Below are 25,551 nucleotides of genomic sequence, written 5' to 3'. Positions count from 1 at the left end.
ATCCCTATATTTTCTTTTTTCTTACTTTTTTTCTTGAGATGCAGTTTCACTCCTGTCACCCAGGCTGGAGCGCTCACGATCTCAGGCACGATCTCAGCTCACTGCAACCTCTGCCTCCCAGGTTCAAGTGATTCTCCTGTCTCAGCCTCCTGAATAGCTGGGATTACAGGTGCCTGCCACCACACCCAGCTAATTTTTTGTATCTTTAGTAGAGATGGGGTTTCACTATGTTGGCCAGGCTAGTCTCGAACTCGTGACCTCAGGTGATCCACCCGCCTTGGCCTCCCAAAGTGCTGGGATTACAGGCATGAGCCACTGCATCTGGCCCCTATATTTTCTTATTAAATTCACAGGAGAAAACTTGAGCCAAATAATCTAACTCAGTCTTTCACGACCTTCTTAAAATCAGCAGATATTTGACAAAAGAATAAATGAATAAATATCCAAACCAATAATTATGTCAGAGTATCAAGGCAATGAGGAAGAAGGAAATCTAACTGTAATCTTGTTAGAGTCCATTTTACTTTCCTTCTTGTTACCTTGTCACTGGGTGATGAGAAAAGACAGTTCTCTGAATTTGTCATTCTCTTTGCTCTAAGTTTGAAGAAAAATATAAAAGTCAACTTTCTCTGGAGCACCTAGAAAAATCGCCTTTCCTAAGACAGTTTGCACTGCAATGGAATTTATGAGGAGGAGATTCTAGTCTTGGTTCTGATGTACTCCACCAAACCACCAGATCTTGGACAGAAGTTGACTGGGTCTTTCCTTTGCAAAAGGCCTGAACTACACATTTCCTAGAATTCATTCCTGCTCAAGGTTCCAATGACATGCACCTTTTCAAGATGATCAACTGTACTGAAGGTTACAGTCTGTGGCCCTGGAGCAGATAAAAATAAAGTGGGGCCCTGTAATAGTGAGTCATTGGCATCCGTCCACAGCTCTATGAGTTGGCCAAACTAACCAGGCAGAGATTAATGCCTAACTAGAATGTGGATTGCTGCTTTGCAAAAGAGCAGTTGGAAGATTAAGGAGAAAAAAAAAAAATCCTGGATAATCACCTCCCTCCTCCATCCAGCAATGAGGCAGCTTTGATGAGTAATCCATTGATTGCTATGAGCCATCAGTTTCCTTCTTTCCCTCCCTTTGCTGCAGCAGTTTTCACTGCCAGTAACCACTGCAGCTGTGCAGGGATCGTCACCAGGACACACCCCTTCACTCTGTTCTCCACCACCTCCTAACAACCAACCACGCCTTAGATAAAGGGTGCAGGAATTGCAGCAAGGGGCTTTGGCCCTTGTGGGTGGATACCTGTGGCAGTCACCGTGCATTTAGACCATCTGTGGTTGGGGAGTTGGCTGTTCATGCATGTTCTGGAAGAGAAATTCACTGCAAATGCAGAGTGAGCCAACACAACAGTAAGAGATTCTCTGCATGACTAGTATAAAATCATGTGAAAGATTAGAAATGAAGTCGCTTTGTTTCAGCCTCTATTTATCTATTTACTTACTTATTTGAGACTGGGTCTTTCTTTGTCACCCAGGATGGAGTGCAGTGGCGAAATCACAGCTCACTGCAGCCTCCTCCTACCAGGCTCAAGCGATCCTTTCGCCTCAGCCTCCTGAGTAGCTGGGACTACAGACATGTACCACTATGCCTGGCCAATTTTTTTTTTAACTTTCTGTAGAGACAGAGTCTTGCTATGTTGCCCAGGCTGGTTTCACACTGCTGGACTCAAGCAATTCTCTCGCTTTGGCCTCCCAAAGTGCTGGGATTACATTCCTGTTTCAGCCTTTAAAATAAAAAACATTTTAGGGTATGTTAGTAAGTGAGGTGGTGGTGGTCATTTCTCTTTAAATGAGACTTTCCATCTATAATTTCTATTTTTATTACACTCTCTCAGGCCTGCTGGGTTCCTTCACCCTTAATTGCTGACATTCTGCCAACAAAGAAACACCCACTTAGTTTCTTTCTTACATAGTTGCAAGTTCCTTTTTTCTTATTGACTTGATGTTACCCTGCTCTGCCATTCAAAAAACAAGAAACAAGAGCATGATCTGGCCATGTGAGAAACAGAGGAATTATAATTGTGGCTTGTGATACACATACATATAGGAACCAAGACACAATTTTCTGTTAGATTTGTAATGATGTCTGAAGCATATGATTCTGAAAAATTCGAGAAAACTAGACACATTTCCGATGCTATAATATGATTCTGAGTTGTACTTGCTTTGTACTTTGACAGTTTCAGGTTCCATATTCAGACCCACAAATTTCAAAATCTAATTGCAAACACCTGTTAGCGACAAGTTACCACAAAATAGTCTCCTTTCGTAGGGTCATGCCTGGGAAACAGAGCTCTTCCTTTTTAGGTACAAGCTTTATGCATAGATTTTTATTTATATAAAATGTTCGGCCCAAGTCTTTGTAAACAGTACTTACCCAGGTTATTTATTTTTTAATTCTAAATATAAACATGTACAAAATGTAGGAACTAAAATTTCCAAACTAACTGGCTTGCAAACAATATTATATAGATTTGTTGATTTGGTTTGTAGAATGTTTTTTATTCAATGAATTTTTTTCATTCAGTGAATCACTTTGATGAGAATATTTAAAAGAATAAAGAGCTGTATATCAAAAAGATCATATTTTTCAGCAAGTTATCCTTTCACAAAATTATTCCACACATTCCTTCTCCCTCTGTTTCCACTCAAGATTCTAGAAGGATCTGAGGTGTTGCCTTTCTGTTAATAAGAGGATAACTTTATGGAGCTGCAAAAGTTGATAGGAAAAATTCAGATGCAAAAGTTCTAAGTTACCTAAGGGTAAAATATCACCCACAGAGCTTCCGAGTTCCTGGCTTGTTAGTTTCTCTGCCTCTTTGAGCCTAGACATGGAACAGTGCGTAAGCTACACACCCAGAGCTAAGACACTGGGAATCAAGACCAGGGCAATGTTCCGTTTCTCACATCTGCTCAGTATTGGCTTAGGTTTTCTCAAGAATTTACATTTGGGAGGAAATTCTGTAGGGGCAAAGTTACTTAAGTTCTCCCAATCCAACAGTGTGGGAAATGGTATCAAATAAGTAGGCCACTTTTCAAAAGGGAGAGGCTGCATCAGTAAATTAGGAGAACTGTGGAATTCTGCCCATTGATGGAATAGCTTAAGTTTTTTTAAATTGATTTTTAAACTGTCACCAGCTAGCAGTCTCCACATATCTACCACTTTCTTCATAAATAAAATGTGTGAGTTCTATAAAATTTCTGAGTTCTTTTCCAATCCATTTTCCACCAATGCCCTAAATCCCCCAATACCAGTAGATGAGAGTCCACAGATACCCATATCTGTAAAATAAAGAAATCCACAAAAGCAGCATTATTGTTCAACTCGGAATACTTCCCGCAACATTGTTGGCTGTTCTCTAACTGAATTAGAGCATTTTATTGTTGTGGGAACATGTTTAAAATGACCATCATTCATCATTGTCATCTGTCTCTATTATCTTGAAAACTTGGATTTTTAAAGAGCCATGTTGTATTTTTTCTTTGTCTCTAAAGTATATGGTTCAGATGTCAGATGTGGCATCTCTGATGATAGCATGGTAGAGTCCACTTTCTGGTTAGTTAAAAATCAGTATGCTCTAGAAATGCTCTGCTTGATTTCCATATAATGGGTAAATTGTTATTTCCCAAAATCAATTCCCACCCCCTAAGTTTTGTGGAGGATGCGGTCGTTGGTCAGAGGTGGCAGGTCATTCTGTTTGGTCCCACTCAAACAGTATAGCCGGGAATAGTTATACAGAGCTCCAAGCGTATAACCCCAATCCAGTTGATCTCAGAGCATTTCCCAACCACACAGTCACAAAGGAATGCCTTCACTTGCAATAAAATAAGACAAAGTTGTGCTTTAACCTCACAAGAAGAAGAGGTCCAACTACTGTGGAAAGAAAGCATTGACCAATAATATTATCAACTGATGTTGTGGGAGACACAAATTGGGGGGTGGCTCCCTGGTTCCAGCAATTTCCTCAGTTGCCCCAACGGTGGTATTCCATTCACTCCACTGCTCTCATAGGAGATCCACATGGCCCCTTGGTCACAGCACTTGATGGAAGGGTAGGTATTTTAGTCCGTTTGGGCTGCTGTAACAAAGTGCCATAGACTGGTTGACTTATAAACAATAAAAATTTATTTCTCACAGTTCTGGAGGCTGGAAGTCCAAGATTAAGGTGCTGGCATGGCTGGGTTCTGGTGAGGGCTTCCGGGTTGCATGTGGCCAGCTTCTTGTATCCAGAAAGACAAGCATTCTGGGGACTCTTTTATAAGGGAAAGAATCCCATGACTTAATTACCTCTCTGAGGCTCCCCCTCCTTATAGCATCATATTGGGGGTGAGGATTTTAATGTGTGAATTTGGGGGAGACATAAACATTCAGTTCTTAGCAATTTCTCATACACCTAGGCTGATCCTTGTGGTACACGTATACTTGGCCACAATGACTGGTCCAAGGGTAGATGTGTCATCCAAGCCAGACCAATCAAGTCTTTCTTGGAATTTTTCACACTGGAGTTTGGAGGGGGAAATCCTTTCTTCTTGGGTAATGAGGCAAGAATGTGAGCCTAAAGATGGAGGAGAAGCAGAGACAAGAAGGAGAAAAGGAGAGGGAGACCCGAAGCCATCTGTGTTCCTGGTTCTATTATAGAGTGCCACTGTCACTTGAACTGCCTTCCTAAGCCTGCTGGTCCAACTCTTCATTCCTTTTTTTTTTTTTTTTTTGAGACAGGGTCTCATTCTGTCACCCGGGCCGGAGTACAGTGGCACAATCATGGCTCACTGCAGCCTCGACCTCCCAGGCTCAATTGATTCTCCCATCTCAGCCTCCCGAGTAGCTGACACTCCAGGTGTGCGCCACCAGGCCCAGCTAATTTTTGTGTTTTTTTTTTTTTTTTTTTTGTAGAGACGGGATTTCCCCATGTTTCCCAGGCTGGTCTCAAACTCTGGTTTTAAGAGAACTGCCCACCTCAGCCTCCCAGAGTGCTGAGATTACAGGTGTGAGCCACTGCGCACAGCCTCAGCTCTTCTTTTCCATCAGTCACCTTTCTGTTTAAATTAGTTCAAATGGAGTTCTTGTCACTTGCAGCTGAGAAAATCCTGAATTGGACACTTATCAAAAAAAAGTACTTTACAAGATCACTGTTAATGGCTGGTAAGCATCCCGTGATATGCACACCTTTACATACTTTTCAAGTCTTCCTCTATTATAGGACACTTAGATTCTTTAAAGACGCCCTGCACCATAAATAATGCTGTGATAAACATCCTTATTCATAAAATATTGTGCACCTCTCTGACTGTCCCATTAGACTTGCTGCTAAGACCACATGCACTTTGAAAGCTTTTGAGACCTTATGATCAAATTTCCCTGCCAAACAGTTGCATTTCATGTATATATCTGACAGTCATTCATGAAAGAAAGCGTCTATTTTTTCACGTTGTTGCCACATATTAGATATTATCACTATATTTCTTTAACATGTTTCTCGATGTTATAGGCCAAAAGGGCCACCTCATTGTGTTTTTAGTTTGCACTTCTTGGGAAAAACAGTTATGCTTACAAAGAAGCCCCGGATTTCCATCAAGTTGTGGAGTGTCATGCTGGGGACACTCTTATCACTCCCCTGAAGGCCTCAATGGCTGACTCACTCTATCAAAATGCTAACAGGGTTTCCTGCCATCAAAGGGTTTTGCCAAAACATCACATTGCCTCATTTTTTATCCTAAATACCACAACCTTCTTAATTCTGAGAGGAGGGGAAGAGAAGCCATCAGTGAACATCCTAAAAGAGGACAGCAGGTAGTAGGAGTACCTTTTTATTTTGTTTGGTTTTTGTTAAATTTAGACTTAGGGATAGGGATAGACTTAGAGATAGACTTAGGAATAGGAATGCCTTTTAACTGACTCCAAGGAGGGGACTTCTACTGGTTCAGAATGCTCTCCATCTGGGGGATGGTTCATTTATTTATTTATTTTTTTGAAACAGATTCTTGCTCTGTCAGGCTGGAGTATAGTGGCTTCATAATTGCTCACTGCAGCCTCAAACTCCTGGGCTCAAGCGATCCTCCCACCTCAGCCTCCTGAGTGGCAGGGACTACAGGCACATGCCACCATGCCCAGCAAATTTTTGTATTTTTTGTAGAGATGGGTTTTTGCCATGTTTCCCAGGCTAGTCTTGAACTCCTGGACTTAAGCAATTCTCCCACCTCAGTCTTCTGAGTAACTGGGACCACGGACTCGCACCACCACACCTGATTAATTTTTAAATTGTTTGTAGAAACAGGGTCTTGCTATGTTGTCCAGGCTGGTCTTAAACTCCTGGCCTTAAGGGATCCTCCCTCCTTGGCCTCCCAAAGTTCTAGGATTACAGGCGAAAGGTACACACGGCCTTTTCAACTTTTTAGAAGAACACGCTAAGTGGTATGCACTTTTGTTTGGTATTGGAAAGACCTTGAATTTCACAGAGGACATTTCAGGATTTTTCCAGAGTGTTTAGTGCTTGACCACCCAGTGCTCCTCACAACAGACCGAGTGACATACTTTCTGACTTTCCTCTGAAGTGCCTCCAAATAAGATGCATTTGCTTTCATCTTTTTCTCCCTTTCCATTAAGAAAAGACTAAAACTAGCATGGCACTGTCAGCAGTTGAGCTAGTGAACTCTGGGATTCTCATGAGGAGGCCCAGTGAAGAAATGGCCTTTCTTCCTAATTAAAGACTTGGGGAAGCACCCTCTAGAAGAGCAGTCCCCGACCTTTTTGTCACCGGGGACCAGTTTTGTGGAAGACAGCTTTTCCATGGACTAGGGAAGGGTTGGGGGATGGTTTCCAGATGAAACTCTTCCACCTCAGATCATCAGGCATTAGTTAGATTCTCGTAAGGAACATGCAACCTAGATCCCTCGCATGCACAGTTCGCCATAGGGTTGTGATCCTATGAGAATCTCATGCCCCCGCTGATCTGACAGGAGGCAGAGCTCAGGCAGTAATGCTGCCTCTCCTGCCACTCACCTCCTGCTGTGTGGCCCTGTTCCCAACGACCACAGACCAGTACCAATCCACAGCCTGGGGTTTGGGGACCCCTGTTCTAGAACACCTACTGTTGACTTCTGTGCCCTAGTTTCCCAGGACCAAAAGCCCTTCTCTGTACATGTGTGGTGGGAGCACCATGTGGCCAAAGAGTTAGCTGAGGCCAGAGATGTTTCACTGTGTCAGTGCAGTGAAAGAAAGAAGGGGGGGAACTAGTTTTATTTTGTTTTTAGATTAAATATGCGTTGACATAACTTCCAGGTGTCTGAAAATTATGTGAAAACATTTTTATATGGAAGGTCTGTACTCATATTATTGTTGTAATGGGTTAAAAATTGCATCAAGGGATATTGATTTCCATTTTTTAATCAGTCTCCCTCTCTAGATATATGGATAGAGAATGTGTGTATGCATGTGTATGTATTTACAGATATATATATATATATATATATATATATATATATATATATCCACCCCAGCTCTTGCCCTCCTAGGTTTTTAGGTTTTCTTTCTCTTCTGTTCCAGTGCTGTTCCTTTTCCCTAAGCAAGGCCGTTCATGCACCACCCCCCACATTCTCTAAGGCGTAGAAAACTACTAATAAAGTGAAGACTGGGCGTGGTGGCTCACACCTGTAATCTCAGCACTTTGGGAGGCCAAGGCAGGTGGATCACCTGAGGTCAGGAGTTCAAGACCAGCCTGAGCAACATGGAGAAACCCCATCTCTACTAAAAACACAAAACTAGCCAGGTGTGGTGGTGCATGCCTGTAACCTCAGCTACTCAGGAGGCTGAGGCAGGAGAATGTCTTGAACCCAGGGGGCAGAGGTTGCAGTGAGCCAAGATCATGCCATTGCACTCCAGCCTGGGCAACAAGAGCGACTCCATCTCAAAAAAAAAAAAAAAAAGAAAGTGGAGATTTCCAGAAGAAGGACAAATCCTACTCGGATATAAAAATAGAATGTTTTGCAGGATATAGCTTTCTAATTTAAATCTGGTACAAAGCACAACTTCCTCAGGCCTCAGTTTTCAGTTTATAACAAGACAAGGATTGCCTTTTCTCTAAGGTGGCATCCAGTTTTGTGATCTTAGGAGACATTGACTGGTACGACGTAGGCAAACCCCTCTCTGCTTCAAACCTGTCTGGGAAGCCAAGCCCAGGGTTTTCTTTCATGAACCACTCGGCTTCTCTGTCTCTCTTTGAGTTTAACCTGGTTTCCTTCTATCTCACCACCCACGGGTGGGGCCAGACAGTGGTGTGTGTCGCCACTACTTCCTGATGCCCACTCTGAGCCAGGCTGCATTTGGGGCTCAAAAGGGTTCATTTGCCCAAGGCATACACAATCCACAGGAGCGGAGCCTCGATTTGAACCCATGTTGTCAAACTCCAAAGCCACGATCTTAACCACTATCCTATGCTGTCTCCCAGGAGGAGGGTGGTTTTCAAACTTTTTTTCAGCACTGAAACATTTTAAGTGATGTCTTCCATAAAACCTCAAAAATGGAGCTGCCCTGGGGATCGCAGAGCAGGAACCTGGTTGTGAGCCACTTTGCCTCATCCACAAACCGAGATTGGCTCCCGGGTGCCTTCACAGAACTCTGAGCTGCATGAAGTGGAAAAAGAAACCACTCTTCTCCACTGACTACACATGACTGTGACAGACAAAACCCACCTTGCCTGTCCAGAGCCTGCTGGTGATGGTCAGTGGTCAGCATCCACAGAGGCCGAAGCCTAAGAGCATGACTCACAGCTCATGCAGCACTTCCCACGGCCAAAGGGCCAGCAGTGCCCTCCTATTTTCTTTTCTCTCTCTTTTTTTTTTTTTTTTTTTGAGATTGAGTCTAGCTCTGTCGCCAGTCTGGAGTTCAGCAGCATGATCTTGGCTCACTGCAACCTCTGGTTCCCAGGTTCAAGCGAGTCTCCTGCCTCAGTCTCCCGAGTAGCTGGGATTACAGGCACATGCTGCCACGCCCAGCTAATTTTTGTATTTTTTAGTAGAGACAGGGTTTCACCTTGTTGGCCAGGCTGGTCTCCATCTCCTGACCTCGTGGTCCCCCACCTCGGCCTCCCAAAGTGCTGGGATTACAGGCGTGAGCCACCGCGCCCGGCCAATGAAGTCCTATTTTCACACTTCCTTTGAGGACTACAGTAATGTTATCAGGAGACAAGCAGTTTCTGCACCTCCTCTGCCTTGACCCAAGTACATTCCAATAGACGTCATGAGGTGACAAACTGTGGGTGCCCATGTTGAGCACTGCTACCGCCAGCATTGCCAAGTTGATTTGTATGGATTTGTGTCATTTCCCTGAAGTTCAACATAATGCTCAAACAGGAGGGCTCTGCTGTGGGGCAGGCCTGGGTTCACATTCAGGCTCTGCCAATTACTGAGTGAGCTTGGACCAACGATTTAATTAAGATTCCATTTTCTCATCTAGAAAATGAGATCAAGTAAGTACGACCCTGCACAGTATCCATCACTATAAAGGTTAGACTAGCTATTATTATTACTATTATAAGCTAATGAAACATATTCTTCTAGTTACAAGAAAATGAAGCTGGGCACAGTGGCCCTCCTGTTGTTGCAGCACTGTAGGAGGCTAAGGCAGGAGGATCACTTGAGGCCAGGAGTTTGAGACCAGCCTGGGCAACCTATTGAGACCTGTCTCTACAAAACAAACCAACAAACAAAACAAAACAAAAAAACACTAACTGGTTGTGGTGGCACTCGCCTGTAGTCCCAGCTACTTGGGAGGCCTAAACAGAAGGATTGCTTGAGTGCAGGAGCTCAAGGCTGCAATGTGCTATGATTGCGTCACTGCACTCCTGCCCAGGCAACAGAACAAGACCCTGCCAAGAGAAAGAAAGAGAGAAAGAGAGAGAGAGAGAGAAAGAGAGAGAGAGAGAACAAAAGAATCAGTGTTTTCAGAAACTTTCTGACTATACATGCCTATCTAATTATTAAGAGATGGACTCATGAAAATTTTTTCAAGTTTGGATACCTTCCTCTTAAATTGTGTTTGAATTTCAAGTGAGTTTTCATTCTCAAATATATAACATTATGTAACATAGGATGTGCTACTTCTATTTTTCTTTCAGTCAGGTGTGCTATTACAAAGACTGATACTGTATGAGCAAAATTTGGGTGGATTGTCTTATCTACGGATAGCTAGATCCCAGGGTTTTAAGAGATCTTAGAAACTCTTTCTCCCCATACTCCTCAGCCAAATATAAACTGGAGTGATAAAAATCAAACATTTTATGTGGCGGGTTTAAAAATCACTCGTGTATCCTTAATATGTACCCATGCTTGCCAGTGGTACCAACACTGGCTTTTAGGTCTTTAATGCCCCAGAAATAAGAATCTAAAATGCCAGTTTTCTACTGAAGAATACTGACTTCATTGCCACTTGCCTTGTGAAATACCCCAGTCTCTTTCTGCTTGTGGACCAGTGGATTTATCATACGCACAATTTGTTACTAAATTTGAATTGTTGAGTTAGGAGTGCTTGAGAAATATGTGACTGCAGACCAGGACTGTGTCACCTACTTGGCCTCGGTGTCATTTTCCCGTAAGAATCAGGAAAAGATTATTTTTTCTGTTTCTATGAAGAATGTCACTCGTATACGAATGGTCAATAGGTACATGAAAAAATGCCCAATGTCATCAATCTTCAGGGAAATGCAAATCAAAACCAGATGGGATACCACTTCACACCCGCTAGAAGGGCTATTATGAAAAAGACAAAAAAAAAATCACAAATGCTGATGAGGATGGAGAGAAGGGAGACCCTTATACACTGTTTTTGGGAATGTAGCATAGCTACTATGGCGAACAGTATGGGGGTTCCTCAAAAAATTAAAAATACAACTACTAGGTCAGTTGCAATGGCTCATGCCTATAATCCCAGGACTTTGGGAGGCCAAAGTGGGTGGATTGCTTGAGCCCAGGAGTTCAAGATCAGCCTGGGCAACATAATGAGATCCTGTTTCTTAAAAAAAAAATAGAACTACCATATGATCCAGCAATCCCACTGCTGGGCATTTATCCAAAGGAAACAAAATCAGTATGTCAAAGGGATACCTGCTCTCCCATGTTTATTGCAGCATGACTCACTATAATAGCCAAACTAAGTGTGCATCAACAGATGAATGAAGATGATGTGGTAGATACACACTCAGCCATTAAAAATAATGAAATCTTGTCATTTGTGACAACACAGACAAACCTGGGGGAGGTTATGTTAAGTGGCCTGAGAACTCTAGCAGGACAGTAAGCTGAGGCAATCGTAGGGCCCACCTTATTTATCTCTGTCTTGCAAGGATTTCTGTCCTTTATTGCTTGATGTCTAGTATCTTGAAACTGTTGTTTCATATATTTTGTCTTTTTTGTTGTTGTTAATGAGACAAGTTCTCACTCTGTTGCCCATGCTGGAATGCAGTGGCACGATTACAGCTCACTGCAGCCTCCTGGGCTCAAGCAATCCTCACACCTCAGCCTCCCGAGTAGCTGGGACAACAGCTAATTTTTTTTTTTTAAGAGACTGGGTTTCATGTTGCCTTGGCTGGTCTTGAAGTCCTGAGCTCAAGCCATCATCCTGCCTCAGCTCCCCAAAGTGTTGGGATTATGGACAGGAGCCACTGCACCCAGCCTGAGCCTGTCTTTTTTATTTTTAAGGAAAGAGGATAAATCTGGTCTTTGTTACTCCATCTAGGCAAGAAGCAGAAGTCACAGGGGCTTATCCAAAGTATAATGACATTTTTAAACTACAGCAATAAAAGTCATTCCCTTCAAATCATTTAAAATTAAAAAGCAAGGTTTTGTTATATTAGGAAACAGTTTTATAAACTGCATTATGTTAAGGGTATATATCCTGTATATGTAAGGATATATACCCATACTCAGTGGAGTTTCATGATATATCATGAATTTTACAGCAAATTAAATTTACATGATCACAAGAAGAATAAATCGATTCTGAATAAGTTACTGAAATTTCTAACACCAATTGTCATTTTCTATGTAGCTTCAACCCTTGGCATAACTGGTCAGTAAATACAAAATTGGGTCCTTTTATGACTATGCCCAAAGTACATTGGATTTGGGTTTAACTCTTCCCACCTTCCTGAGAATTTCTCAGGGTTCCCAAATGGGTCCTCCCTTGCATCCACAAATGAGCCTGTCAGCTGCAGTTACCACAGAGCATCTGCCACCTCCTCCGCCAATCCCTGCTGCAGTTCCTGCTTTTCCTGGTTCTCCCTGAGAAGCCTCTTCTAGGATCCTTAGTGAAGCCTTTGCTGATGGTGCCTTTTGAGGGAGTGCCCATATAAGTGCCAAGGGCTGCCCAAAGCTGCCAGGCAGGGCTAGGTTTCTCACAGAGGCAGGCGACCCTGAACAGTTCTGAATATAACCTGCTTCTGGCCTTTAACTCCTCCCAGGATCTTACAGTCTCTGATGAAAGCAGTTCAATCAATTTATGGGCAAAGGAGCCAGACAGGGAACAGAGTTCATATAGCCCTCCCTCCTGTTCCCTCTTCCCTGCCACCCTGACTCAGTCAAACTTCTTCTCCTCCCTCCCTTACAAAACAGAAGCTCTCATGCTCATCAGCCAATGACCAGAAATATTTGATGGGGACAGAGGGAGAGAAGAGTAGATGTTTTATGTACTAGCAATATCTGAATGCAAAAACTGGACAACCCACGTGCCTTGTTCCATAGCCACTGGCCCTTGCTAGGCCATGTAGTGTGGATGTGCCTGACATTTGGAGCTCAGCAGTTGCCCAGTATGCAGCCTCAGTGGAATGTCTCATTGAAGAGCTGTTCCTAGATCCTCCCACAAAAACCTAAGAGCAGAGGTCACCTTCCCCAGGTGATTTTGCATTGCTCATCGGCAGCCTAGACTATGGTACTCAATAGTAGCTTCTGATATCGAACCTCACATTTCTCATGCTCAAAGAAGGCACAACCTAAGTCAGACACAGCTGTGGTCGGCTTCCTTCTCCCACTCCTCTTCCAGGCTTCCGCCAACAAATTGGTACAGCAGAGTCTCATTTCCTTAGGGGTCCTGGAACTTCCTTTTCACTGTGATTTCAAAAACATTTATTAGAGGATACATTTATTCCTCAGCACATTAATGGAGTCCAGATTCTGCTTGGATAATATGGACAGACAGATGTGCAGTGTTTTGTGCTACTTTTAGATGAGCAACGCTGTTTACACAGAATTTGCCCAAGACCACCCAACTCATTTCACATGTAGCCTCCAGCTTTCCAAGCCCTTAGCCTCCAGAGGAAAAGAAAAAATTTAATAACTCAGCACCCCACCCAGTTTTGAAGACATGACTTAATACTGAAGGAATTTGCAAGCCTGCACTGCCAATCAACATGCCTACATCAAATAAGCCATCTTTTCTTATTCTGAAAAATGGAAGGTGGTTCTAGAAACATTCTGCTCTCTGACTTTCTTCCACAGTGTTCATGTCTCATTTGAGACCTGGAGAAGTCTGAACAAAGACCTTAAGCCTAAAAAGTAATAACAATGCATAAAACACTTGATATTTGCCCTTCAAGTCTTCCACTTTCTATTTCACATCAATTGCCTTTTCCCCTTAGCTCTATATTATGCCTAATGATATTGTTAATAATTTTTTGCTTAAAGTTTCTTACATTTTTCCTAGCATTTGCATATATCAGTAATTTGTTGGCTCCTTATGTAACTTTGAGAAGTGGGTAAGGTGCTGTCTTAGTCCGTATGGGCTGCTGTAACAAAATACCATAGACTGGGTGGCTTATAAACAACAGAAATTTCTTTCTCATGGTTCTAGAGTCTGGGAATTCCCAGATCAAGGCGCTGGCAGATTCAGTGTGTGGTGAGGGCCCACTTGCAGACGAGATCGGGCGTGTTCTAGGTGGTATGGCCATAGACGAGGTCCCACTTTCATGTCCATAGATGGTGCCTTCTTGCTGTGTCCTCACTTGGTGGAAGGGGCAAGCAAGCTCTTTGGGGTCTCTTTTCTAAAGGCACTAATCCTAATTCACAAGGGCTCAGCCTTCATGACCTAATCACCCCCCAAAGTCCCCACCTCCTAGTATCATGGTGATTCGATTTCAACATCTGAATTTGGGGCAGGGTCGGGGAGGGGGGTAACAAACATTCAGACCATAACAGGCAGGTGGTAGCAGCATTTCCATTTTCCAGATGAAGTAAATGAGAAATCAAATGAGTTTGCCACAGTTTCCCAGAAAGTAACTGGTTAAGTCAATTATTCCAGCTGATCATAATAATTTCTTTTTCCACATTGCATCTGGAAACCATTGCCTGCTTTTAAGTTTTGCTGTGTTGAGTTATGTAGAGATACCACCACATTATTGATGTATATTATATATTATGTTACTTTATGGCTTACCAAGACCTAAGGGTACATTGATACCTTTTCTTTCTAAGCCCTATCTGACTTTGGTCAGTGATTTGTATAGAAAATGTGAACCCAGTAAATAACATTCTAGTGTTTTTCTGTAAACACTAACAAATTTTAGCTACATGAATGACAGCTACTCATAGAATTAAAAGGCAGCAAAGCTTGGGAGAGTGGAAAACGTATTGGAATAAAAGCTAAGACACTCGGTGCCAGGTCTGGTTTTGTCCTTAATTCACTCCCATGTCCGCTCCCTTCCCTTTTACAGATAATACAAGAGGCAAATTCAATCCAATAGACATTTTATCAAGGGCCTATTGGGTAAAGCACTTTACATATGACATTTAAATTAAACCTCACAACAACCCAAACGGGTAGGTGTCACTGAACTCATTTTCTAGAAGAGAAGACTAGCATCAGGGAGCTTAAGACAGGGGCAGGGCAGGGTCTGAGCCACTCTTTGAGTCCTACACCATGTTCCTTTCTATGTCCAAGGCCCTGTTCAGTACTAAGGAATCTTTAAGGAGATAGGTGTAAAGTCCCTATCCTCGAGCTGCTTTCAAAACAGCAGAAGTGGGCCTGGTGCAGAGGCTCATGCCTGTAATCCCAGCATTTTGGGAGGCCAAGGCATGAGGACCACTTGAGCCCAGAAGTTTGTGACCAACCTGGATGACACAGCAAGACCCTGTCTCTATAGAGATACAAAAATTAGTCATTCCCAGTAACTCAGGAGGCTGAAGCAGGAGGATTGCTTGAGCCCGAGAGTTTGAGACCAGCCTAAGCAATATAGTGAGACCCTGTCTCTACAAAAACTACAAAAATTTAAAATTTAAAAACACAGAAGTGAACAGATGCATATGCAGTGAACAAGGGGTAGCTAATATAACAAGGAAGTAACCAGTGCTGCCTGAACGGGTGCTACATGCAAAGGAAGTGGGTTGGCTGGAGAGATCACTTCTGGCCTACAGTTGTGGTGGGGTGAGGTTCAGGTGATAGTTTATAATGAAAGTGGAACTTAATTTGGATATCTAAGCATGATTATGATTTTGACAGGCAGAGATGTGACAGAGAGCCATGCTGGATAGAGGGTATATTAGTCCGTTCTCATTCTGCTATAAGGACACACCGAGACTGGGTAATTCATAAAGGAAAGAGGTTTGACTCACAGTTCTGCAGGGCTGGGGAGGCCTCAGGAAACTTGCAGTCATGGCAGAAGGGGAAGCGAACACATCCTTCTTCACATGGTGGCAGCAAGGAGAAGTGCAGAGCGAAGGGAGAGGGGGGAAGCCCTTATAAAACCATCAGATCTCGTGAGAACTCACTATGATGAGAACAACATGGAGGTTGTTCTCCATGATAATTGAATCACCATGATTCTCCACCAGGTCCCTCCCATGACACGTGGGGATTATGAGAACTACAGTTTAAGATGAGATTTGAGTGGGGACATGGCCAAACCCTATTAGAAGGAGTATTAACGGCCGGGCGCGGTGGCTCACGCCTGTAATCCCAGCACTTTGGGAGGCCGAGGCGGGTGGATCATGAGGTCAGGAGATCGAGACCATCCTGGCTAACAAGGTGAAACCCCGTCTCTACTAAAAATACAAAAAATTAGCCGGGCGCGGTGGCGGGCGCCTGTAGTCCCAGCTACTCGGGAGGCTGAGGCAGGAGAATGGCGTGAACCCGGGAAGCGGAGCTTGCAGTGAGCCGAGATTGCGCCACTGCAGTCCGCAGTCCGACCTGGGCGACAGAGCGAGACTCCGTCTCAAAAAAAAAAAAAAAAAAAAAAAAAGAAGGAGTATTAACAAGATACAAAGATGTAAAATACAAAGATGGTAAAATGCAGGATACGCACTAGATTTAGCCCACAAGTTGATGTGTGTGGAACATAGACCCTGGCTACTCAAAGGGTGGCCTGTGGACCTGCAGCACCCCCATCACCTGGGAGCTGGTTAGAAATGTGTAAAAAATTAGCTGGGCATGGTGGCACGCACCTGCAATCCCAGTTACTCTGGAGACTGAGGCAGGAGGATCTCTTGAGCCCAGGAATTCGAAGCTGCAGTGAGCTATGATAGCACCGTTGCACTCCAGCTTGGGCAACATAATGAGACCCCGAATGTAAGGGGGTAAAAAAAGAAAGAAACACAGACTCTTAGGCCCCACCCCACACATACAGAATCACAATCTGCACAAGTGATCCATGCACAGTGGAACACACTAGAGTGCAGGTCACACTGAAAGGCAGATTGTGATCAGGCCAATACGGAAGCTGCCGAACCTGTTGGTCAGGTGGAGGCTTTGGAGCAAGATGGGGTCGTATGTGAAATCTCCAGCCTGGCTCCAGCAACATCACTTCCCAGCTGTGGGAACTTGGGCAAAGTTACTTAACCAGGTTACTTAAATTGGGGTGATAACAGTACCTGTTCCTTGTCTCATAATATTTAAAATAGACTTCATTTTTTCAGAGTAGTTTTAGCTTCACAGCAAAGCTGTCTGGGAGGTACAGGATTTCTCATATAGCCCCACATAGACTCCCCGCTTATCAACATCCCCTGCCAGAGTTGAACATTTGTTACAATAAAACCTACATTAACACATCATTATCACCCAAAGTTCGTAGTTTGCATTAGGGTTCACTCTTGGTGATGTATATTCTATGAGTTTAGATCTGTATGATGATATCAATCCACTGGAGTAGTATCATACAAGATAGTTTCACTGCCCTGAAAATCCTGTGTTTTTCCTCTTTCTCCCTGCCTCCCACCTAACCCCTGTTGACCACTGATCTTTTTACTGTCTCCACAGTTTTGCCTTTTCTAGAACGTCATTTAGTTGGAATCTTACAGTGTGTGGCCTTTCAGAATGGCTTCTTTCACTTAGTAATATGCATTTAAGTTTTCTTCATGTCTTTTTATGGCTTGATAGCTCTTATTTGCACTGAATAGTAATACGTTGCATAGATGCATCATAGCTCATTCATCCATTCACCTACTGAAGGACCTCTGGGTTGTTTCCATAGTTTAGCAATTACAAATAAAGCTGCTGGCCAGGTGCGGTGGCTCATGCCTGTAATCCCAGCACTTGGGAAGCCGAGGCAGGCAGATCACTTGAGGTCAGGAGTTTGAGACCAGCTTGGCCAATGTGGTGAAACCTCATCTCTACCAAAAGTAAAAAAATTAGCCTGGCATGATGGCGCACATCTGTAATCCCAGCTATTCAGGAGGCTGAGGCAGGAGAATCACTTGAACCTGGGAGGCGGAGGTTGCTGTGAGCCAAGGTCATGCCACTGCACTCCATCCTGGGCAACAGAGCAAGACTCTGCCTCAAAATAAATCAAGCTGCTAGAAACATCTAGGTAACTTTTTGCAGACATAAGTTTTCAACTCATTTGGATAAATATTAAGGAGTGTGATTGCTGGATCCTGCCTCATAGGACTGTGTTAGGATTCATGTAAGTAATGTGCTTACTAATGTGCCAGGCACTTGGTAAATTTAAATGCTCAGTAAATGATTCTGAGAGTCAGGCTTGCCCCTAACATTTATGGGTCCCAGGACGAGAATACAAAGGCAGATCCACATACCCTTTGCTGAAATAGTTAAGGTTTTGAAACTTGATAGCTTTGTTCATGGCCAAGCTCAGGTTTTCACTTGACCTGGAGATTGACTAAAGGAGCCAGGCTCATCCCTCCAGGCTGCAAGCCCAGGCAGACATGGTATCTGCTGGGCAAGGCTGGGCATGAGTTGAAGACAGGGCCCCCAGGTGGGGACAGGACCCTCCTGCACCCTGGATGGGACTGATCCAGGAAGCTCTTAATAGCACTGAGAGTCCTGGGTCCTTCTCCTCCATGTCCCTCTTTTCCAACTCAGATGCCTCCAAGACTATACCTTCTGAGCCAGGGGCTGAAGGGAGCATCATTATCTGGGGAGGCCGTCCTGCTGAGACCCCTACCCTGGTTGATTTAGGATGGCCAATATCCCTTTCTCTTTGCCTGTTTCCCCAGGTAGGCTGTTCTTTTCTCCACCACTGCCCCTAACTCTACCCTGCAAAGAGGAGGGCAGGCCTACTTCAGCATACATGTCCTCTTGAATAATTCCATTAGCTCAATCTGTTACAGAACTTTCTAAAGAAAATCTTCTTCATAAGACCAAAAAGAAAAACAGCAACAATAAATGTCTTAGTGTTTTGGTATTTGTGATATGCAGGGCTCCTCTTGCCTGGCTCTGCGGGTGGCTCTGCCCATTGTTATGACAAAACCAGACTTTTGCAGGCATGGGAATCTTCAGAAATATTTTGAGCTGAGAAGTGACACACAGAGCTCAACTTTTTGGGCCCAAATACGGTAGCATGGACATGAAGATAGATTCAGTCAAATGCTGGAAGGTGGGTGAGTATTCTAGAAGTTTCCATGGCTCCATGGCACAGAATCTGCTGCCACTTCTCTCCCTGGGCCCTTCCTCAACACCATGTCATCCTCCTGGCAATCTTAAAACAGTTTCATGAGAGCTGGTTTAAGATGTTGTTACTTTTGAAAAATCATTTTCATTTAATTATTTAAGTGATAATTCTAAATCTTCCTTTTTTTTTTTTAAACAATTGTGTGGAGAAAATCGTCTCTTGGCCGGGCACTGTGGCTCACACCTGAAATCCCAGCACTTTGGGAGGCCGAGGCAGGTGGATCACCTGAGGTCAGGAGTTCTAAAGTAGCCTGGCCAATATGGCAAACCCTGTCTCTACTAAAATATAAAAATATACAAAAATTATCCAGGCATGATGGTGCATGACTGTAGTCCCAGCTACTCAGGAGGCTGAGGCTGAGAATCGCTTGAACCCAGATGACAAAGGTTGCAGTGAGCCAAGATCACGCCACTGCACTCCAGCCTGGGTAACACAGTGAGATTCTGTCTTATAAAAAAAAAAAAAAAAAAAAAAGGTCTCTTAAGAAATGATCACCGCTAGGATATCATCAACTACATTTTAAAACATAAACTTTGCTGGAGTCTTTGGGGAGTCTTTGGGGTCATTCAGATGTGTCAAGAGGCTCCATGTGTTTGTCCCTCTGCCTCATGATTTAAAAACATAATTTAAATCAAAACAAGAAGTCCATACCAAGGTTCAAAACAGAAGGATATCCTGCTTCAAGGTTTCAAACAAAGTTCATGTAAAGCAATGCGGCTGAATCTGTTTTTAAACTGAGTTTCCTCTTTTCCTGGGGTCATCTATAACTAAACTGAAATAAAGATCCATTCCCTTCTCCCCTCCCCTTTTTCCTTTTTCGTGGTGGCCTTTCTTTCTTCCCACTAGCCTGTAGCTTCTTCCCATTATTGTGTCCCTCCTTCTGACCCACCCTCCCTTTATTTCTCATAAAGAAAAGCGCCTTTCTCTGTGCAGTGGGGATTAGCTAACCAGGACCCCTTTTGGAAACTGGGTGGAGTAGAATACCAATCACAATACAGTGATTAATCATTGTCATTAAACAGAAAGCCATTTTGTCTTAGAAGAAAGTCACATCATGTTTGGAGAGTTAAGCACACCAAAGTCAGGAAATGCAAGATGGATGTGTACTTTCAAATGAGCTAAATTGTATAGATGAACATATATATATAATATTTATGTTATATTATATTATTTATAATTATAATACATTTATATTTATATTCTATGTGTTTATATATAAATATTGGTATATATAAATTATGTATATATGTTTATATATAAACATATTTGTATATATGTAATTACATATATATAGATACAATTTTTTTCCTGGCTAAAATTGCTAGTTTCACTTGAAAACTGTATCCTTTACTCATTATCCAATGAACTACTGGTATTAAAATATCAAGAATTCATATTTTTATATTTTCGGTGTTCAGAATTCACATGGCCTTTTGCATTTAGATTTTTTTTTACTTTTTTTATTTGTTTTTTTAACATTTTGAGGATGTGGGGCATGGTGGCACACACCTGTAGTCCCAGCTACTTGGGAGGCTGAGGTGGGAGGATCACTTGAGCCCAGGAGTCCAAGACCAGCCTGGAAAACATAATGAGACCCCATCTCTAAAAAAATAAATAAAAATAAAAAGTATATATTAAGGAGGCTTTTCAGGAACTGAGATAATAAAATAATAGTAATAAGAATAAAGAAATGTAGTTTGGGTGGGAATCACTCAGACATAACAGGAAGTGTTGCTTGCCAACATTTTGTGGCTAAAGTGGGTGGGGAAGAAGCATTAAAAATGCAGCTAACATGCGCGCTTACAAGTTTCAGTCTGGCTCAACAAACGCTGAATGCTACAACGTGCCAGCCACTGGGGGTACAATTAGGATGAAAGTCGGCTGCTGTGCTGAAAGAGTTTTCATTCCATCGGCAATTGCTACATTCACAGAAAATTTCAGTTGGATGTGCTTTGTTGACATCCAGATATGCATACTGTCATTGGGGCACCCATGCAGAGGAAGCCAGGGGGAGTCCAGGAAAATCTCCTAGAAGAGATGATGCCTGAGTCTTTCTCTTTTTCTTTTCTTTTCTTTTTTTTTTTTTTTGAGGCAGATCCGCTCTGTCACCCAGGCTGGAGTGAAGTGGCAAGATCTCGACTCACTGCAACCTCTGCCTCCCGGATTCAAGCGATTCTCCTGCCTCACCCTCCCTAATAGCTGGGATTACAAGTGCGTGCCACCACACCTGGCTAATTTTTGTATTTTTAGTAGAGACAGGGTTTTACCGTGTTGGCCAGGCTGGTCTCGAACTCCTGACCTCTGGTGATCCGCCTGACTCAGCCTCCCAAAGTTCTGGGATTACAGATATGAGCCACCGTGCCCCGCAAACTGAGCCTTGAAGAAAGAATAAGAATTATCCACTCGAAGAGAGATGGAAAGGTGTGGTATGAGCTATGCCCAGCCAAGACCAAGAACCAAATTGCATTTCCTGTACCCAGAACTCCAGGGCCCTCAGTGCAAAACGGTGGTCGGTGTTCATTGGCCATGGTGAGAGGGGTTGCAAGGAATTGGTAATTAACAATGTTTATCAAAATTTGTGGAATATTGACTTTTCCTGTAAACTAGAGTGATTGTTGAGGTTCTTTTGTTTACAAGTAGTGAATTCTTTATTAAATTCCCACAAGCTAAAATGGTGGTTTTATAGAAAGGAGTTGACCTGATCCCCAAGATAAAAATGCAGCCAGACCTGGAAAAATATCAGGAACTCCATGCTCATGTTCTACCACAGATCTTCTACCTCCATCCTGCAAAGCAGTTTCAGGATCACTCCATGCCCTGCTGACTGTAAATAGCTCTCTAGAAAAACCAACATGGGTCCAGGGAGAGCCAATAAGTACAAACGTGGGTCAGAGCATGATCTCCAGGTGACTGCTGTCCATTGAGAGAAAGGATGAAAACAGCAAAGTGGGGCCAGGTGCTTTGGGAGGCCAAGGCAGGAGGATCACTTGAGGCCAGGAATTCAAGACCAGCCTGGTCAACATAGTAAGACCCCATCTCTAAAAATAAAAATAAAAAAATCAGCTGGGTGTAGTGGTGCACATCTGTAGTCCCAGCTACTTGGGGGGCTGAAGTGGGAGATCGCTTGAGGCCAGGAGTTTGAGGCTGCAGTAAGCTATGATTGCACCACTGCTTTCCCATGTGGATGACAGAGTCAGGCTCTGAGAAAGAAAGAAAGAAAGAAGGAAGGAAGGAAAGAAAAGAAAGAAAGAAAGAAAGAGATAGAGAGAGAGAAAGAAAGAGAGAAAGGAAGGAAGGAGGGAGGGAGGAAGGGAGGAAGAAAGGAAAGAAAGAAAGAAGAAGGAAGGAAAGAAAGAAAGGGGAAAGAAAGAGGGAAGAAAGAAAGATGGAAAGAAAGAAAGGAAGGAAAGAGGGAAAGAAAGAAAGAAAGAAAGAAAGAAAGAAAGAAAGAAAGAAAGAAAGAAAGAAAGAAAGAAAGAGAAAGACAGTAAAGTGGAATGATGGAAATTTTGCCCACGCAATGGCTCAGTGTAAACATCAGACACTGCAGCATGGGAACTGGGGGTTCACTGAGAAACCCCAAAGGAACACACAGATGAGTGCATTTCCAAGGTGATAGCCAATCAATAGATTGGCACCAGAGGGACAGCAGTCCTTCTTAACCATATGCCTCATGGGGTCAGTCCACCTCAGTAAACCCTAACCACAGAGCACATGGCTTACATGTATGTGTTATCTGCTGTGTGAATGAACAAAGAATAAATCACAAAACCAATGTCAGGAGACTCACACAGATGTGTATGTTTCTTAAGATTAAAGGCAAGACTAAAGACATGGTGAAACCCCATCTCTACTAAAAATACAACAACAACAAAAAATTTAGCTGGGCCTGGTAGCCTGTAATCCCAGCTACCTGGGAGGCTAAGGCAGGAGAATCACTTGAGCCCAGGAGGCAGAGGTTGCAGTGAGCTGAGTTCACGCTACTGCACTCCAGCCTGGGCAATAGTGCAAGACTCTGTCTCAACAAAAAAAAAAAGAAAAAAAAGAAAAAAAAATACTAAAGACAGATGTCAAGAAGACAGAACAAACTTTATGTACTATTTATTATAAAATACCAGGCACTTTTCTAAGTGCTTAATGCGTACTAATTCATTTAGTCCTCCCTATGCTCCTATGAAGTAGGAACCCTGAATGTACTCTTTTTATTCATAAGGAAACTGAAGCGCTGAAAGGTTAGGTAACTTCCTCAAGGTCAGTGCACAAAAAGTGGAGCTGTGGCCGGAACCCAGGCAGCCTGGTCCCTGAATTCGTGAGATGCCAGCTGCCTGTTCGCTTGGTCTCCACATTCTCCCTTCTCCCCACTCACCCCACAGAGATTGCAAGCATGAGTTTCTCCACAAAAACAATCTAAGCACCAAATGGGTATTTAAATGAACCGGAAACTGAAAAGAAGGTAAGTTGATTTCAAGGGATAAAAGCATTAACATGATATTAGGTTGGTGCAAAAGTAATTGCAGTCCTTGCCATTTGATAAAAGGCAAAAACGACAGTTACTTTTGCACCCACTTAATAGTTTTCAAACTTTTGGGTTTTTTGGTAGCAGAACATTTCCTCCCCAGTGTCTTCTTTAGAATTCAGTAAATACAGCTGGGCATGGTGGCTCATTCCTGTAATCCCAACACTTTGGGAGGCCGAGGCGGGCAGATCATCTGAGGTCAGGAGTTCCAGACCAGCCTAGCCGACATGGTGAAACCCTATCTCTCTACTAAAAATACAAAAAAATCAGCCGGGCATGGTGGCACGCACCTGTAATCCCAGTTACTTGGGAGGCTGAGGCAGGAGAATCGCTTGATCCCGGGAGGCGGAGGTTGCAGTGAGCCAAGGTCGCACCACTGCACTGCAGCCTGGGTAACAAGAGCGAAACCCCATCTCAAAAAAAAAAAAAATCAGCAAATACAACAGAGACAGGTAGAACAGCTCTGGTGGAAGCAAGGGACAGTGCGAGAGCTTCACTGACCCTGGCTCTGCATCAACTTCCACTTTGGCTCCATGCAGCTTAAAAGACTGAGGGACTCAATTACAAGTCACATCTCACATCAACGAGTGATTGGAAAACGAGGAATACTGGAATCAATTCACCTGTCCTTATTATCTGAGCTGGTATCAAATGCTCAGAGTTTTGAAAAAAATCAATTCGAGCCAGTTGCAACATTTTAATTAGGAGCTCTCCAGCTTGATCATTAAATATTCTTATAATGAAATGTTTCTGACTCTGTTTTGCATCTCTGTCCATTTGATAGAGTATCAGCGACCTCTTTGAGAACAGGAGAATAGCTGAGAGGAAGGATTAGGATGAAAAAAGGGGAAAAGCAAAGTTAAGGCCTCTGTGGGGGCGGAGAATATTGAGACAGCCTTTGTGTAGAGATTTTGAAGCAAGTTGCGCTCTGACTCTTGAAATGAATGGCTTAGAGGGTGGTTCTCTTGTTTATTTGTTTTCTTTACTTTTCCTCTTCTGGTTCCTCAAAAGGACAGGATATTTAGGATATGTATTCTTCCTCGGTTTGTTTTTTTCCTGAATGTTCTCAAAGCAGTCCAAATTGTCTGTTTGGTGAGGAATCGTCTCCCCTGCTGCGCTATCTGGCGTGCTCTATGTAGTACCTAGAGCCCAGGTCACCTAATATTTCCAAAATGGTTTTTCCAAAGATGCATGACTAAAGGTCAGAGGTTTCCTTTTGTATTTAAGTAAATCCACACATCCTCTGCCACCAGCATTCCTACGGAGATGTTGATTTCTCCTGTCCATTTCAACTTATGCCTCTGACTTCACTGATGCAGCCAGATCCTGCACCCCTTGGTGTTCCTCTCCAGGGAGGACCCACTATGTGCTTCTTCCCTCCAGGAATACTGGTGAGGGTCAGGTGCTACACAAGAATGTTGTGCAGTCAGGCGAATCTAGGATTGAACTGGGCTCATTCGCTTACCAGCAGCACCTCTTTGGGAAAGTTTCTTTCTTTTTTTTTTTAATACAGTCTTGCTCTGTTGCCCAGGCTGGAGTGCAGTGGTGCAATCTTGGCTCACCACAACCTCCACCTCCCAGGTTCAAGCGATTCTCCCACCTCAGCCTCCTGAGTAGCTGGAATTGCAGGCACTCGCCACCACGCCAGGCTACTTTTTGTATTTTTAGTAGAGATGGGGTTTCACCAGGTTGGCCAGGCTGGTCTTAACCTCAAGTAATCCACCTGCCTCGGCCTCCCAAAGTGCTGGGATTACAGGCGTGAGCCACCACACCCAGCTCTCTTTGGGAAAGTTTCTTAAACTCTTATTGTCTCTGTTTCTTCATTTGCAAATTGGAGATCAAATAATACCTATTCTGGCCAGGCACAGTGGCTCATGCATGTAATCCCAGCACTTTGGGAGGCTGAGGCAGGCAGACTGCTTGAGGCCAGGAGTTCAAGACCAGCCTGACCAACATGGCGAAACGCCATCTCTACTAAAAATACAAAAATTAGCCCGTCATGGTGGCACATACCTGTAATCCCAGCTACTCAGGAGGGTGAAGTGGGAGAATCGCTTGAACTGGGGAGGTGGAGGTTGCAGTGAGC

At 43.4% G+C, this 25,551-nt stretch overlaps 1 protein-coding gene across 2 annotated transcripts in view, besides 1 other annotated feature; it reads left to right on the top strand.

Moving 5' to 3' along the window:
* PRTFDC1 (phosphoribosyl transferase domain containing 1) overlaps window positions 1–25,551 on the top strand; it is a 103,993-nt gene that overhangs the window by 49,365 nt on the left and 29,077 nt on the right. The gene's annotated exons all lie outside the window — the stretch shown is intronic.
* Window positions 15,404–15,613: an enhancer, noted in NCBI's record as "active region_3160". NCBI's record gives its function as "activates an Ori minimal core promoter by ATAC-STARR-seq in GM12878 lymphoblastoid cells {active_cell/tissue: GM12878}" and the evidence as "EXISTENCE:reporter gene assay evidence [ECO:0000049][PMID:35858748]".

The sequence above is a fragment of the Homo sapiens genome, chromosome 10 (assembly GCF_000001405.40).
Source record: "Homo sapiens chromosome 10, GRCh38.p14 Primary Assembly".
NCBI classification, from domain to species: Eukaryota; Metazoa; Chordata; class Mammalia; order Primates; family Hominidae; genus Homo; species Homo sapiens.
The sequence above is the reverse complement of the archived record's forward strand: the minus strand, read 5'-3'. Positions and strand labels throughout refer to the sequence as shown.